This window comes from Homo sapiens, chromosome 7 (genome assembly GCF_000001405.40).
Source record: "Homo sapiens chromosome 7, GRCh38.p14 Primary Assembly".
Classification (NCBI taxonomy): Eukaryota; Metazoa; Chordata; class Mammalia; order Primates; family Hominidae; genus Homo; species Homo sapiens.
Genome location: NC_000007.14, coordinates 159,047,700 through 159,065,498, shown reverse-complemented (window position 1 = coordinate 159,065,498; position 17,799 = coordinate 159,047,700). Strand labels below are relative to the sequence as shown.

General features: G+C 46.0%; 1 protein-coding gene across 4 annotated transcripts in view, besides 1 other annotated feature; it reads left to right on the top strand.

Annotated features, from left to right (window-relative positions):
* The window catches only part of VIPR2 (vasoactive intestinal peptide receptor 2), a 116,693-nt gene that overhangs the window by 79,369 nt on the left and 19,525 nt on the right, over positions 1-17,799 (top strand). For 3 of the 4 annotated variants that reach the window (NR_130758.2, NM_003382.5, NM_001308259.1), the window contains 1 exon segment: positions 6,921-7,018. The exons of the other annotated variant lie outside the window; for it this stretch is intronic. Coding sequence is in view for 2 of the 3 variants with exons in the window: in NM_003382.5 (NP_003373.2) it covers positions 6,921-7,018 (98 nt within the window). In the remaining variant the exon portion in view is untranslated. 4 annotated transcript variants of the gene reach the window in all.
* Positions 6,323-7,522: an enhancer, noted in NCBI's record as "BRD4-independent group 4 enhancer chr7:158850668-158851867 (GRCh37/hg19 assembly coordinates)". NCBI's record gives its function as "activates an origin of replication core promoter dependent on BRD2, P300/CBP, MED14 and CDK7 cofactors, and independent of BRD4, by STARR-seq in HCT116 cells {active_cell/tissue: HCT116}" and the evidence as "EXISTENCE:reporter gene assay evidence [ECO:0000049][PMID:35650434]".

The window sequence follows — 17,799 nt, the reverse complement described above, 5'->3', positions numbered from 1 at the left end:
AGGTCTGGGCAGTCACGGAGCCCTGTGAGAACTGTGCAGCCTCCACTCTCCAGCCACGGGAAGCCGGAACCCTGGCCAGAGGGGCAGGGAAGGGACCCGAGACACCAGGGCTTGACGTATTTGAGCAGCCACGGAGGGCCAGAGCCTGGGGTGGCCGCCCTCCTGCCCCCGTCTCCTGCGGGCTCCTCCTGTAGCAGCCACTGCAGGGGAGGGGAGGGAGGGAGATGGGCGGGCAGAGGGAACAGCAGCATGACGCTGTCCAAGGCTTTCTAAATCCAGGGGTTGAGATCCTAGAACAACTCAGAAACACAGACACATCCAGACACTTCTCTCTCAGCTCTCAGATCTTCCACTCCCCAGGGATCAAGCCTTTAGGAGAGCCAAGAAAGCCTTAGTCCAGGAGGAATCGTGTGGGGTTCCAACACCGTGTTGTGATTTCCGCCCTCCCAGCTTTCAGAGAGCGGTGCAGTGGGCCCGCCATGGCTCCAAGTCCCACGGAGTTCCCACCGCCTGCTTCTGGAAGGTGGGCAGGTTCTCGGTAGAGGTGGCGATGCAGAGTCTACGTGGGGAACATCAGGCCCCTGCAAAGCTGAGACAGGAGCTTCCTCCACACTTCATCAAAGCCTGTCTTGCCAGGCATGGAACCCCGGGCCTCTAGGCGAGGCCTCTGCAGGGACTGAAGGAGGGAGGGTCGGTGCCCCAGCACACAGCTGTGCACAGGCGGCCCCGGGTCATGTGGTGCCAGAGCTGGGGCGAAGGCCGGGCCAGCAGACGGCCCTGGATGCGCCTCAGGACTGGACGCTGACCTGGCAGGACTCAGTCAGCACCGACTGCTCGGCCTCGAGAGAGCAGCCTGGCCGGCCTCTGTGCCACTGCACCCAGGACCCAAACCCAGGCCCTGTACTCCTGCTGCTGACAACCTCGAAGCCCCACCCGACAGCGGGTGGCTGCTGCCACCTTCAGCCCAGCACCCAGCTGGCCGCCCCGACTTGAGACCACAGTTCTGGTCTCGTCCATTTTCACCCCGCCATCATCCTCACTCACAACGAACCCGGACACTGCTGCCTCAGGAGCCGCCAATTCCACTCCGTCTCCATCCCTTCCTGCATCTCTCCCCGCCACGGTCCCGTCCCGGAGGGTTCTGCACAGAGGGGCAGCCGGGGGTCCTCTGTGGACCCGCTCGAGCCCACGGGGCCCAGGTGCAGGGTCGCCTCAGCCAGGCCCCAGTGGCTCCGGGGCAGGGGACCGGGGCTCCCGTGAAATGCGGGAAGAAGGAGCCCTCCTGGCCCGGCGCGTGGGGCCGCCCCTCTCCCACCCCAGCAGCCGCATCGCCTCCTTTCTGCTCCCTCCGCGCCCACCCACGCCGGGCGCGGCTTCCCCATCCAGAATCACATGAGAGGCGTTTTTGTCATTGAATTTCTTGGTGAACGCCCCAGGCCTCAGTGCTGCCTGAGCCTGAGGAAGTCTCAGGGGACGCCTCTGGCCTAGACCTTCCTCTTGAACCCCAGCCCGGTGTGAGCACCGGGTGCTCCACGACCCCCGGACCCCGCCAGGCCCCCCAGATCCAACCAGGACCCCACATCCCTCCAGGAACCCCAGATCCCCCCAGGACCCCCAGACCCCACCAGGACCCCCGGAACCCACCAGGCCCCCCAGACCCCACCAGGACCCCCGGACCCCACCAGGACCCCCGGACCCCACCAGGACCCCCAGACCCCACCTGGACTCCCAGACCCCGCCAGGTCCCCCAGATCCCGCCAGGCCCTCCGACCCGCCAGGAACCCCAGATCCCCCCAAGACCCCTGGACCCCACTGAGAGGTGACAGCATGCTGGCAGCCCTCGCTCGCTCTTGGCGCCTCCTCTGCCTCGGTGCCCACTCTGGCCGCGCTTGAGGAGCGCTTCAGCCCGCCGCTGCACTGTGGGAGCCCGTTTCTGGGATGGCCAAAGCCAGAGCCGGCTCCCTCAGCTTGCAGGGAGGTGTGGAGGGAGAGGCGCGGGCGGGAACCGGGGCTGTGCGCGGCCCTTGCGGGCCAGCGCAAGTTCGTGGGCTCGGTAGGCCCCGCACTTGGAGCGGCCGGCCGGCGCTGCCGGCCCCGGGCAGTGAGGGGCTTAGCACCCGGGCCAGCAGCTGTGGAGGGTGCACCGGGTTCCCCCAGCAGTGCCGGCCTGCTGGCAGTGTGCTCGAATTCTCGCGGGGCCTCAGCTGCCTCCCCGCAGGGCAGGGCTCGGGACCTGCAGCCCACCATGCCCGAGTCTCCCCCCACCCCGCCGTGGACTCCTGCACCGTCTAGCCTCCCTTACAAGTGCCGCCCCCTGCTCCGCGGCACCTGGTCCCATGGACCACCCAAGGGCTGCGGGCACGCAGCGCAAAACTGGGGGCAGCTCCGCCTGCGGCCCGGTGCAGGATACACTAGGTGAAGCCAGCTGGGCTCCTGAGTCCAGTGGGGACGTGGGGAACCTTTATGTCTAGCTAAGAGATTGTAAATACACCAGTCAACACCCTGTGTCTAGCTCAAGATTTGTAAATGCACCAATCAGTGTTCTGTGTCTAGCTAATCTAGTGTTGACTTGGAGAACTTTTGTGTCTGGCTCAGGGATTGTAAACGCACCAATCAGTACCCTGTCAAAACGGACCAATCAGCTCTCAGTAAAACAGACCAATCAGCTCTCTGTAAAATGGACCAATCAGTAGGATGAGGGTGGGGCCAGATAAGGGAATAAAAGCAGGCGGCCGGAGCCTGTAGAGACAATTCACTGGGTCTCCTTATGTGCTGTGGCAGTCGTGTTCTTTTGCCCTTTGTAATAAATCTTGCTGCAGTAAATCTTGCTGCTGCTTGTTCTTTGGGTCAGCACTGCGCTTATGAGCTGTAATACTCACTAGGAATGTCTGCGGCTTCACTCCTAAGACCAGCGAGACCACAAACCCACCGGGAGGAATAAGTAACTCTGGGCGGGAGGAATGAACAACTCCAGAGAGGGGCCGCCTTAAGAGCTGTAACACTCACCGTGAAGGTCTGCAGCTTCACTCTTGAAGCCAGCGAGACCGCGAATCCAGCAGAAGGAACAAACTCTAAACATGTCCGAACATCAGAAGGAACAAACTGGGGACACATTACCTTTAAGAACTGTAACACTCACTGTGAGGGTCCGTGTCTTAGTTCTTCAAGTCAGTGAGACCAAAAACCCACGAATTACGAACACCTCGCCAGGACCCCCAGACCCGAGCCCGAGGCTGGCGCTGCTCTCTCACCTGCGGGCTGCTGTGGCTGTGACTTGCCGGGGCTCAGGCTGAACCCTTCGGGGTGTCCTTGCCCTGTTTTTCTCCCGTCTCCGTCGGGAAGGCCCGCGGGCCCCCCATCAAGTCCCTGTTGGGATCCGGCCAGTTCTCGTCTGCTTCACACCCGCCGGCGCCCCATGGCCACACCGCCGCCTGAAGACCCCACACCTCGCCCTCTGCAGGGCCCTCGGGATGGGGCTCCGCAAGACCAGGCTTCTCAGGACGGGGCTCCTCTAGAGGCTTCAGGCTTTCCGCCCTCCCGCCATGGACTCCAGACGCGGCCGCCGCTCCCCTCCCACCGGGATCCCAGAGCGGCAGGCTTCTCCCGCTAGCAGTGCGTCCGAGCCGGCCTGGCTTCCCCGCACAGCCGCGCACCGAGCTTGATCCCGGTACTCCGCCGCGGCTCGCCCTCCCGCTGAGCGTGAGATCCAGAAAGCCGTCTTTCCTGTCTGTCGGCTTCTCCCGCTTTCTCAACCCTGGTGGGCGCCCAGTAAATACTTGCTGAATGAGTAAGGGTGGAAGTATGGATTATTTTTCACTTTTTTTCTTTTTTTTAACTTTTTTTTTTGCGACAGGTCCTCGCTCTGTCACCCAGGCTGGAGAGCAGTGGTGTGATCACAGCTTAGGCAGCCTCCACCTTCCTGGCACAGGTGATCCTCCTACCTCAGTCTCCCCAGTAGCTGTGGACCACAGGCACACACAGCCACACCCGGCTAATTATTTTTCCATTTTTTTTATGGAGACGGGGGTGTCACTCTGTTGCCCAGGCTGGTCTCAAATTCCTGGGAGCAAGCAGTCCTCCCACCTCGGCTTCCCAAAGTGCTGGGATTTTGCAGGTGTGAGCCACCAAGCCCAGCCTTTTTTTTTTTTTTCAACTTTTATTTTAGACTCAGGGGGCACATGGGCAGGCTTGTTACCTGGATATATTTCATGATGATAAGTTTGGGGTCTGACTGATCCCGCCACCCAGCTACAGAGCATAGTACCCAACAGTTTTTCAACCCTTGCCCCTCCGTTTCTCCCTCCATTTCTCCTCCCTGAGTACCGTGTTTTGCTCCCACTTACGAGAACACGTGGTATTTGGTTTTCTGTTGCTGTGCTAATTGGCTTAGGATGATGGCCTCCAGCTGCCTCCATGGTGCTTCAAAGGACGTGATTTCAGTCTTTGTGGCTGCGTAATATTCCATGCTCTGTATGTACCACATGTTCTTCATCTAGTCCACCTTTGATGGAGACGTATTGATTCCATGTCTTTGCTTTGTGAATAGGGCTGTTGATGGGCATGTCTTTTTGCTAGAATGATTTCTGTGCCTTTGGGTTTATAGCCAGTAATGGTATTGCCAGGTTGAATGGTAGTTCTAAGTTCTTTGAGAAATCAGCAAACTGCTTTCCACCACAAAGTGAAGGTGGTGGTTACGTGATGTGAGGGTGGCTGTTAGGTGAGGTGAGGGTGGGTTAGGTAAGGTGCAGGCTGTGGTTAGTTGAAGTGAATATAGGTTAGATGAGTTCAGAGTGGTGGTTAGGTGAAGTGAGGTTAGTGGTTAGGTGAGGTGAAGATGGGTTCCATGAGGTGAGTCAGGTGGTGGGTAAGTGAAGGGAGTATGTGTTGGATGAGGTGAGGGTGGTGGCTAGATAAAGTGAGTAAAGTGGTTAGGTGGAGATGAAGGTGGTTGTTAGATGATGTGAGGGTGGCAGTTAGGTGAGGTAAGAGTTATGGATAAGTGAGGTGAATATGGTGGGTAAGCGAAGTGAGTATGGGTTAGATGAATTGAGAGTGGTGGTTAGGTGAGAAGAGTGGTTAGGTGAAGTGAAGTTGATAGGTGAAGTGAGATGGTGGTTAGGTGAAGGAGATGGTTAGATGAATTGAGAATGGTGGTTGGATGAGGTGAGGGTCATGGTTAGGTGAAGTATGGGTTAGATGAGGCTTGAGGTGAGGGTGGTGGTTGGGTGAAGTGATGGTTAGGCGAGGTGAGTGGGGGTGGTTAGGTGAAGTGAGTACAGATTAGGTAAGTTGAGAGTGGTGATTAGGTGAGGTGAAGTTAGTGGTTAGGTGAGTGAAGGTGGTGATTAGGTGAGGTGAGGGTGATGGTTAGGTGAGGTGAAGGTGGTGATTAGGTGAGGTGAGGTTAGTGGTTAGGTGAGGTGAAGATGGGTTCCGTGAGGTGAGGGTGGTGGGTAAGTGAAGTGAGGATGGGTTGGATGAGTTGATAGTGGTGGTTAGATAAGGTGAGGAGAGTGGTTAGGTGAAGTGAAGGTGACTGTTAGGTGAAGTGAGATGGTGGTTAGGTGAAGGGGATGGTTAGATGAGTTGAGAATGGAGGTTAGATGAGGTGAGGGTCATGGTTAGGTGGAGTATGGGTTAGATGAGACTTGTGGTTAGGTGAGGTGAGGGTGGTAGTTGGGTGAAGTGATGTGATGGTTAGGTGAGGTGAGGGTGGTAGTTGAAGTGAGTACGGGTTAGATAAGTTGAGAGTGGTGGTTAGGTGAGGTGAGGGTGGTGGTTAATGACATATTCTCGTGAGTGGAGTCGGGAAGGATGAGGAATAGCAAGGAGAAGGGATCTGGCCAGGACTACTCTGTGCTCTTCTCTGAGCTGTCCTAAGTAAGCAGGGCCGAGGTTCCCAAGAAGAGATTCCTGCAATGCAAAGTAAATGGGTTAATATGTTCTAAATGATTAAACAGTAAAGTTATACTTAAGAGCCAAACTAATAAACAAGAGCATAACTTTCTGAGTTTTGCCTTAAATTTTGTATTGCAAAATAACAGTGAGGTTTGGTTGTACTTATACGGACTTAGGGCCTCTTGACAAAAATAAAATTCATCACATAAGCACACGTGGATTGTTTCCCTCTTTATTTTATAGGAATTAGCTTTATCAAGAAAATGCAGACCAGGAAGCGGCCTTTGGGAGTGGCGAGTGATGATGATGCCCTGCAGGTGTTGCTGGTTTTTATCGCAACAGGCACTGGTTTTCCTTCTAGAGGACCCAGTTCTTTTTGTGTAGGATTCCCTGTTGTCATAGAACTCCCTGTGATTCTGCCACCATGATGATCATGAATCCCTCCTGTACCTGATGATTTCGTGGAGATTAAAAGTATCAAGCCATGGACCTTGCTAAACCAAGAAATGTTAAGGAAATAAAATTCCCAAGATACTGCAGCTCAGCAGCTGGCTCTGGCTTAGGCAAGTACCTCTGTCTGGAACACCTCACCCTGTGCCTGTAGGTAATAGTGTTTAACACACTCAGACCTGTGTGTCCACCTGAGCTCATCCAGGAGTGTCAGAAAGCTGGATGTGCTGCCTCGGAGACAGACTGAGCTCTCTTTCTGAACTTAGCTCAGCGCTTCCTTCCTTTGCTTTCCCTGATGGTGGCGGGTCGTGTTCCCTCCAGACAGAGGTGCTTTACAGGAACCATCCAAAGTCATTCATGATGAATTATAAGAAAAAAGTGGAGGTTCCAAATTGTGGGTGTCATTTTTTGGTTCAAAATGGAGGTGGAATTATAAAGCGAGACTATCTCGTGCCTTCCAGGCAGGCAAGAGTCCTTCATGGCCAGAGCACAGGGCTGGATCCTGGAACCATTCCTGTTGTCTGGTGTTGCTGGTCACCCTCAGCTTACAGATCTGTTTTCTTTCTTTGTAGATCACGTTTTATATTCTGGTGAAGGCCATTTATACACTGGGCTACAGTGTCTCTCTGATGTCTCTTGCAACAGGAAGCATAATTCTGTGCCTCTTCAGGTAAGGAGCAGAAATTAGTAATTCTGCAAAGAATACAAGACAAGCAAAGTTTCCATTTAGGCCTTCTAGGCGCCACCCAGCCTGGAGCCCTCTGTGTGCTAAGCCAATAAGACTCCCATGGAGAATGCTGCCATTAAATATGATGTTAACATTTACATTTTTATTTAAATACTCTGCATTTATTATGTAAAGAGATAATGCTGACCTTGGATAGGAACTCAGCTCAGCTATCATTTATTAAATACTTAGCCATTATGCAAATGCGTGGAAAATACAGAAAAAATAGGATCTCACCCTTGCCATCCAGAAGCTCCTGTGTTTTGGCTGTAGGTGCTCTATTAGAGAGATGCTACGACGTGTTTAAGAGCATGAAGGTGGAGTCAGGCTGTCTGGGTTCAAATCCTGGGTCAGTCTCTTAGCAGCTGTGTGACCTTGGACAAAGTACTTAACTTGTCTGTGCTTCTGTAATGTGTGGAGACTAAGAAGCCCCCTTCAGAGGGCTGTTGTGAGAACTTGATGTGTCGGTAGATGTGAAGGGCTTAGCATGGCACGTGAGGTTGTGATGAGGGCTTATTAAATGCTGCCCACTCTTCCCTGGCAGTGAGGTGAGATGGCCCCTGCACACCTGCATCTTTAGTGGGTCTCTTGGTAACTAATGATGACATAGTGCAGATGATTTGACCAATCAAATCATTGTTCATTTGGGTTGGGGGTAGAGGTTTTGGTCCCAGAACGGCAGTTTCTCTATAGGAAGAGCTCTGGTGAATTAGGATTAAATCTGTCTTACGTATCATTAGCACTAAATAAAATGGAGGCTATTCAGCTTATTCTATGTATCAATCACTACATATTTTATTTCTCTTTGCTAAAATGTAATCGAAATGTTTGCCAGTATGTCAGATAAAAATCAATGATAAATGGAATATTTCTAGACCCTAACAACAGTCCATTAGGAGATCCATACTTGGAAGTGTAAAATAAACAAGTTAGGAGTGGTTGAGAATCCAGCTAAGAAAGCCAGCAAATGTAATTGAGCTATGCTTTTTATTGTTCAGGCATCTCAACTATGGTTGGTAATTCTCAGAAAGAATAAGTCTACCTTTGATACAGGGCTGCACTTTGAAAAGTGAGGAAGGCCTATCATATTCTAGTTATTTTTAAAATCTGGTACAATATTAATATTTGTTCTATTATACTTATATTTTATAGAGTATAATTTACTATATATGTTTACTATTTTACTGTATATGTTTAAATTTTTAAGTTGCTAAAGAGAAAGAGGAAAACTTTAAGGAAGTAAGCTGACCCAGGGAAATTGAATCTGAAAATTTTATCTTATTTTCCTATATTGAACAATCCCTATTTTTTACACACATCTGTTTCCTTCACATATGTACAGCATGACATATTTAATTAGGCAACCCAAGAGCATCAGGAATTATCCCGCCTATGAACACTGATCCTTTAGGGCACAGAACACACCCCTCCATCTGTAGGCATCATTCGTCACCTGCCTGTGGCACTTCTGAGCTGAAAAAAGTGCATGTCTGTGTTGGATGTCATTCTGCTGGTGACCACATAGTGTCCAGAGCTGGTGTGCAGCTCTAGGCTTGGGGCTCATCCCACGTCCTTCTGTCAGAAGCAGGGTCCAGTGCCACTTCCTGAGAGCTGTGAGAGTCTGTCAATTCTAAAGTCCGAATTATAAAAATAACGTGCTCCATTGTCTCAGTAATTATACCCAGGAAGCAGAATGCTTTGCGGGCATTGAACATTTCTTCTCCAAAATAGCCCAATAAGCCAAGAAAGCCTTCAGTAGCCATGTTCTTATTTTATACACGGGAAATGGAGCTACTTACTTCTTAGAACACATCCCAAAGTGTGCAGTGTTGACGCTCACAACAAATACAGGACCAGCTTTGTAGGGGAGTCATCCTATGGTGACAGCTGCCCCTGTGACCCAGGGACTGACAGAGACGGTTCCAGTCCATGCCAGTCCAGCAGGGTCCACAGCACGGTTGCTCCTCAGACAACACGGGTTTGAACTGCATGGTCCACTTCTCTGAGAATGTTTTTCAATACAGTCAGCCCTCTGTATTGATGGATACCACAGATCAGAAGTATGGCCTATTCTCAGGATGAGAAGCCTGCAGATACAGAGGACCAGCTTCATATATCCACGGGTCCTGAAGGGGCAAATGTGGGACTTGCACATTCATGGACTTTGGCATGGGGTAAGGGGGGCAAGATTGGGGGAGGGGGATTGGACCCAATCCCCTGTGGATACCAAGGGACAGCTGTAACTGCTAATATGCACCGTGTCAAGTACTTTACAGATGTTAACATCATCAGGTAAGTACTGCCACTGACCCAGTTTCTCCAGGTGGAGAGTGCAGCCCCAGGAAGGTCGCTGGACATTGCAGGGTTGCTGAGCTGGTGCACGCAGAGCCCTGATTTCAACCCAGGCTCTCATCACTGCAGCCTGCACCTCTGTCACTGTCAGATGGACGTGGCCTCCAAAATCCTTTCCCACCATTGCTAATGAGCAGACTCTGGTCCCCCTTTCCGGAAGCCACACTTTCTACTACCTCCATTGCCCATTGGCAGATCCATACGTGGAAGTGAAAATTTAAAACGAGCAGTGAGTAATGAAGAATATCACTGAGAAACCCAGCAAACATGTATTTGGATGGCTTGCTAACTGGACCAAAAGCATGCTCATCTCTGAGCAATGGCTGTAAGTGCCAACCCCACTCCACAGAAACACAGGGGGTGGAAGAGAGAGGGAAGGAGAAAAAATAAGAGAGGGAAAAAGGTGATTTGGAGAGATGAATGCAGCCAAGGAGAGAATCAGTGGGAAGCAAAACGGCACCGGTGGGGGACATTTGCCTTCTGAGGAAGGGGTGTTGAGGAGAAGCCAGAGGGAGCGGCACTGGTGTGTGAGCCTGGCGCAGTGGCCACACAGCTTTGGAATTGCTCCCAAGACACCGAGAAAATTCAGAGCATATTTACAATTCTTTGCTTACCAAGGCTCTGTGGCAGTGTTACATATGCTAAACGTTTGCTAATGCAGTATATGTTCAGAATGCATGTTTACCAGGCGAACACAGCACCAGATCGAGATGTGGGATACAACTCTCACCAGGGACCCTGCAGCCACCCGGTGTCTACCCCACCTCTCTCCTGAAAAGCAGTGTTATTCAGAGTTCTGGCACCAGAGACAACTTTTCTCTTTTTGAAAACGTTACCTCGGAATCATGCAAAAGGAACTCCTGGTCTCTGGGTTCTTTCACTCAGCATTTTGCAAGGAGGTTCATCCATGTTGCATGGAGTTACCATGTTTTATTTTCTTGCTGTATAGTATTCCACTCAAAAAAATATGATGTATTTATCCAATCAACTGTTCATGGACATATGGGTTACTCAGTTTGAGGCATAGCAAATAATGCTGCTGTTATATTCTTAGTCATCATCTCATGCACAGATGCACATGTTACTTTAGGTATGTGTGTATATGTACACACATTTATATTTACATTTGTGTTTATCTTATATTTACTGGTCATAGGCTATACATAGAGTTAGTCTTCCTAAATACTGCCAGTAGATATGCTAATACCCTGATGGGATCATCATACCACATAGATATGTATCAAAGCATCAAAGTATACCCCATAAATATGTACAGTTACCGTGTGTCCATTAAAAATAAATTTATTAAAAAATGAATGCTGCCAAGTAATTTCCAAAGTGGTTACCAGTGTACACACCCACTAGCAGGGCAGGAGGCTTCCATTCACACCACACCTTGCCTCCATTCGGTATTGTCCATTTTTAAGCCTTCAGCCATTCTTGTGCGTCTGTAATAACATAGAACGGTGTTTTAATTTACATTTCCCTGATTTCCCTGGTGGAAAATGAGTTCATACATTTTAAAATCTTGCTTTTTTTGAAGTGCCATTTCAAAATGAGTTTGCTCATTTTTCTGTTTGGTCTCTCCCTCTATTTAAGTCAATGTTTAGGAGTCTTCGAGCCTTTCATTACATACGAGTATTACGGATTTTGTCTCCAGCTCTGTGACTGAGTTTAAGCTCTCTTCGTGGTCTTTGGATAAACAGAAGCTCTTAACTTTAATGAAGCTTATTTGCCATTTGTTTCTTTATGTCATTGTTTCTTGAGTCCTCTTAAGAAATCTTTGCCATATTCTTTTTTTTATCATCTAGAGATGTTATTATTTTAACTTTTCATGTTTCTGTCCATAATCCACCTGTGAGTTATTTCTGCTGTGGTGTGAAGCAGGGTAAAGTTTCTTTAGGGCTTTCAGTGTGTGTATCCCGTTGTCCGGGAGCGGGTACAGGAAGGAGCTTCTATGGCCTGCAATGCTTCTCTTCACAGAGCAGGCAGTGGCATGTGTGGGGGCCTCGAGTCCCGGTTCTGCTCCTTTGGCCTTCTGCCACTGCACTGTTTCTGTTTATTATAATTACCCTGCCTTTAATAAGTCTTTATTCCTAGGAGTCCAAGTCCATCAACCCTTTTTTATTTTTTAATTAGGAAGAGCTTGGCCATTTGTACTTACATGTGAATTTTAAAAATCAACTCTTAAACTTTTAATGTCAATTGCCGTTTTAAAAAATCAGGCTGGTTGCATTGGCTCACGCCTGTGATCCCAGCACTTTGGGAGGCCAAGACAGAATGATTGCTTGTGCTCAGGAGTTCAAGACAAGCCAGGGCAACATAGGGAGACCCCATCTCTACAGTCTCTACAACAAAATTTAAAATTAGCTGGCCGTGGTGGCACATGCCTGCAGTTCCAGCTACTTAAGGGGCTGGGGTGGAAGAATCACTTGAGCCCAGGTTGAGGCTGCAGTGAGCTGTGATCACACCACTGCACTCCAGCCTGGGCAACAGAGCAAGACCATTTCTCTCAAAAAAACAAAAAAAACAAAAATTCTATTGCAATTTCATTTGGTATTGCATTGTATCTATAGATCAGCTTGGATAGACAGGACATCGTTCTAATTATGAATCATCCAACCTGTGATCATAGTAGATCCTTCCATTTGTTTTGGTTTTCTTTAATTTCTCAGTGTTTTATGATTTTCCGAGTGGAAGTCTTACACATAATTTAATAGTCATTCCTAGATATTTGTTTATGGTATTATAAATATTTTGTTAAATTCCATTTCTAATTGTTTCTTGAAAAAATTTATTTTAGTATATTAATATTGCTTCAAAGGCCAGGTACAGTAGCTCATGCCTATAATCCCAGCACTTTGGGTCAAGGCAGGAGGATTGCTTGAGCCCAGGAGTTTGAGACCAGCCTGGGCGACAGAGTGAGACACCCTGTCTTAGAAGGAAAAAGAAAAAAAAAAGACAAACCTCTTGCTTCAGCAACCTCACTAAATCCATTTATGGATTCTTTATTCCATAAATTCACTTGGATTTTTCTATGTGTAATTCATGCTGTTTGTGAAGTACAATGTTGAATAGAAGTGGTGATAGCAAACAACATTTTCTTATTTCTGAACTCAGAGTGAAAGCTTTCCATACTTCACTATAAGCATGATGTTTGCTGTAGATATTTTGAAGATACCTTTTACCAAATTAAGTTTCTCTCAATTCCCAGTTTTCTGAGACTTTTTAGTCATGAATGGCTTTTGAATTTTATCATGATTTTTATGTACATACATATGGTTTTTAACATTTGTTCATTTAATTTGAAATATTACATGGATAGATTTTCTAATGTTAAATCCACCTTTCATTCCTAAATTAACCCTACATGGTTTTGATATATTATGTTTTTAATATATAGCTGAACTCAGCTTGATAATATTTTGTTGAGGATTTTTCATCTACATTCATGAAATTGATCTATTGTTTTCCTTTCCCATGAGTCAATCTGGTAAGGTTTGGTGTTGGCCCATAAAGTGAAGAGGAAAGTGTTTTCTCTTTTCTATTTTTTGGAGTAGTTTAGGTTAGATAAGATGTTATATCTTCTTTAAATGTTTGGAAGAAGTCACCAGAAGAGCCAACAGGGCAGAGAGTTTTTTTTGTGAGCAGGTTTTATTTGGCTGTCCAAAATTTCTAAACCAGATATAGGACTATTCAGACTCTCGGTTTCTTTGTATGTTAGTTCTGCTAAGTTGTACTTTTCAAGGAATCTGTCCATTTCATCAATATTTTCAATGTTCTGTTACATTTTTAATGTATGTAAGATCTATACAGATCTCTGCTCCTTCAGTCCTGGTATTGTCAATTTGTGTTTTCTTTCTTTTTATCTTGATGAGTCTTACTGAATAAAGTGTTACCAATTTTATCAGTGTTTTCCAAGAACCAACTTTCAGTCCTCTGAAGCTTGTTGAGACTTGCTTTATGATCTGGCATGCCATCTGTTTTGGTAAAAGTTTCATTTTCGTTTGAAAATAATGTAAATTATGCAGTTCTTGGTTATGTGCTACATAGGTCATTCACATCGTTTTTCAATGTTATTTAATTATTCCAAATCTTTACTGATTGTTTTAACTGCTTTTTCTACCAGAACTGAAAGACTTACATTTTTCTACCAGTACTGAAAGACATGTATTAAAATCTCCAACTATAATTGTGGGCTTGTCTATTTGTCCTTTTAATTCTTTCACTGTTTACCATCTATATTTTAAGGCTATGTCATTAGGAGTATATCAGTTTAAACTGCCAATGTGTAGTAATGTCTCCTACCTTAAAAATCTGCTTTGTCTGATATTTAAGATAATTTTATTAGCTTTATTTTGCATTTTCAAGGTATACGGTTTTCTGTGCTTTTTATTTTCTACTTCCCTGTGTTTTATATTAAATGTAGATATTTTATAAGCTCCATTTAATTGGAATTTGCTTTTTGTCTACAATCTTTATTTTTAAATGCAGCATTTTCATACGCACAGTCTACTTATGACAACTGTGAGTTCTAATCTACCTTTCATTTCTTTGCTTTCTAATTGTCTCAACTGTTCTTTGTTGGTTTTGCACATATTCTTGTTTCTTTTGAATTGATCAAATATTTTTATTCTTCTGGTTTTCTCCTCTTTTGGATTGTTACTATTCTTCTAGTTGTCACCCCAGATTCACAATAGGCATCCTTTTCTCATGAGTTAACCTCCAGTAACTACTTTTACCACTTTCCAGTCAATTCAAGAGTTTTGCAACATTTTAGCTCCATTTTACCTCTCATGTGTTTTGTGTTTTTGTCATGTATTTTAATTCCATATATAAATACTATTGTTGTTGTGTTAAAGGTCGCATTTACTTAGCATTCCCTCAACATTTCTTTCTGGTGCTCTTCATTCTCCTGCATTTTGTGATTCCATCTGGAATCATTTTCCTACTGCAGGAAGATTTCCCTGTAGTGTTTCTCTCAGCACAGTCCCACCAGCAGTGAATTCTTATGAGTTTTGGTTGCTTGAAATCATTTTAATTTTGCCTTCATTTTTGAGGCTATTTTGGAGAGGATTGAATTCTGTTGGCAGTTATTTTCTCTCACCACATTAAAGATGTACGTCGTGACCTCTTCTGAAAAGTCAGCTGCCAGTGCACCATTGTTCCTTTGAGGCAGTGTGTCTTTTTTCCTCTGAAAGCTTTGAAGACTTTTTTCAGTTTTTAGCAGTTACACTCTCATAGGACTTAAGGTGGTTTTCTTCACATTTCTCCTTCTTGGGGTTTGTAGAGTTTCTTTAATCTGTTACTGTCTTTTGTCAGTTTCAAAAAACCTTGTGGCTAGCATCTCTTCAAATACTGCTCCTTCCTAATTCTCTTCTCCTAAAACTACATTTCCCATGTATTATATTACTATTTTTTCCTATATTTTTCATATTTTTGGTTTCTACTTTAATCTAGACATACTACTGATCCAATTCATGGTACTCGCATCTGCTGTGTTAAATTAATGTTAGTCCCCTCTATTTAACTCTTAATTTCAAGGTTTTTTAAGTTTTAAATTTTCTATTTGATTGTCTTAATTTTATTATCTAATAAAATTCTCCATTTCTTTATCTGTTTTCTTAAATATATTAATTTTATAGTCCATGTCTTAAAACACTAGCATCTGAATCGCTATTGTCTGGGTTTTTTTGTTTTTTTTTGTTTTTTTTTTTGTTTTTTTGTGTTTTTTTGAGATGGAGTATGTCTCTGTCACCCAGGCTGGAGTGCAGTGGCATGATCTCCGCTTACTGCAACCTCTGCCTCCCGGGTTCAAGCGATCCTCCTGCCTCAGTCTCTCAAGTAGCTGGGATTACAAGCGTGCACCACCATGCCCAGCTAATTTTTGTATTTTTAGTGGAGACGGGGTTTCACCATGTGGGCCAGGCTGGTCTCAAGCTCCTGATCTCAAGTGATCCACCCACCTTGGCCTCCCAAAGTGCTAGGATTACACGCGTGAGCCACCGTGCCTGGCCAGTGTTTTTTCTTTTTAACTTGGCTTTTGATTACTTAGTCCTGTTTCTGGCATACCTAGTAATTGTTACTGAAATTACAAATACTTAAATTGCAGAGGCTTCAGATGATTATCTTGCTGCAGAGGATTTGAATTTTTCATGGTAACAAGGGTAGACCAGCCTGGGCCGTCAGGGCCATGTGGGTTTCGGGCTGCATTTCAGGTTTCAAGCAGCCAGGTGCTCTCTGGTTTGTTGTTACTCTGGGCCACAGCTATTCGGGACTCCCCCATGAAGGGAACCCTGCCACCCTCAGGCCCTGAATCCTGGTGCTTGCCACCCGGCACCCATGAAGCTGCAGGCATTTCCCCCAAGTACTCGCCCTTGGCCACTGCTTTCTGGTTTATTTCTCAGCCTCTCACCCAACACACAGCCATCTCAGAGACCAAAAGGATTTGGATGCAGCCTCTATTTCCTTTCCTGCAGAGTCGTTGCTCCCCGAGGGTCACCCAACAGCCCTTATCTCCCGTTTCTGCTGTGGCGGGTGAGGCTGCCCTCGCTATGGCCCTGGCTCTGGGCTTGTCCTTTCTGAACACCCTCTGTGCCCGGAGAGCTAAAGCAGCAGATACCCACGGAGGCCCTGGAGGGCCCAGGCGCTCCCCACAGTGCCCTTGCCTTCTCCCCAGAGTCCAGCCCTTTGGTCCCCACAGCTGCGGCTGCTCCCCAAAGCCCTTGGGCTGCTTTTTAGGATCACCCTGATCCTTTCCTGAGGTATCCTCCTTCACGGCCACAAGTGGAGGTCCTCTTTAGGGTGTGTTCCAATTAAGTCTTCTCTGAAGCAGAATTTAAGTGTTCTAAGAGAGTTGTAAACAAAATGTTCTGAATACTTTTTAGAAAAGCAAGATGTCACATAAAGTTAAGCCCCAAGAAAGGTTCATGTTGACATTTGATGAGGGTCTTGCTGGAAGAAGAGAATTCCAAGAGAGAAAGTTTTATGGGAGTGCGTGCTTGGCAGAGGAACAGGGACGCTCAGAGTCCACAGAGGGTGCAGTAATGGGGGTGGCATGTTGATAGAAAAAATAAAAATAAGGTTCAAGAAACTGAAGGCTAAGAATGAGGAATCTTTTGAGTGGGAGAGAAGGGTCCTCCATGCCTTGAACAAGTGGACCCAGCAGAGGTTTGTGGAAGAACTAGAGAAAGCCCCTGGAGCTGTGCAGAACATCAGTAAGGGCTGAGCTGAGTGCACGCTGGCTGTGGAGGAGTTTGACAGGTGCCAGCCCAAAGAGGAGCTGAAAAAGCACAATCCAATAGCTGTTGAGATCAGCAGTGTCCAACAGAAACATAAGGCAAGCCACTAGCATAATTGTAAGCATTCTAGTAGCCTCATTTTAACATTTTCTTTTAAAAATAAAAAGAAACCAGTGAAATTAATAATACATTAAAGTTGTCAGATCCAAAATACTACTTCAATATGTAATCAGTATAAAAATATTAATGAGCTATTTACATTCTTGTGTTCAGAGTAAGTCTTCAAAATCCAGTTTGTAGTTCACACAGTATAGTTCAATTTGGTCACTGATTTGTATTGGAAATACTTGATCTGCCTTTAGAGTTTTTAAAATTTACAGTTGAAAAAGTTGTTCAAACATACCTAGCTGTCCAAACATACATAAAAGCTCTCCAGCAAGTCACTCTGGTACCAGGAGTCATTTCCCTTTACTATTCATATCCACATTAACAAAACTAGGTTACCATTTTTAGAAAGAGTTGATCTAACTTTGAAGCAAAAGCACCTTTGTTTGCAAATTATGTCTTCTCAAGTTAAATAAGCTTACCCTTGTATCAGCTCAGTATAACTAATGTCAAATTCCAAGGGGCAATGCATAAATTGGCAAACAACTCTAAATCCATTGATTAGAAAAAGTGTTTCTCAAATTTATATGGTATTTTTCTGCCAGTTTAAATGGTTCTCTTGATTGTAATTAAAATATTCTGCATATTTATTCATGTTAGAAAAATGCTAAATCATTAGTTATGATTTATATTATGGGAAGTTTTTATTTCCACATAATTTTTCATACCTAGCTATGTCACAAATAAGCTCTCCTTTCTTCAAGGTTCCAAAACCAACAGGATAGCACTGAGAAAACATAAATTATATTGTCATTTTGCTTTTGATAATTGAATATTTGGAAAGCCCTTACTGTTTGAGAAAAATCTTGACTTGGAGTTACCAATACAGTGAATATTGTAAAATTCTTCCATGACTCACCCAAGCATTTGCAAAGAACACTAGATCATTAAGTTCATTGTCTTGTTTCTTTCAGGTGTTGTGTAAACGCTCAGCGATTCAAAGCATTTGCACATAAATACTGAAAG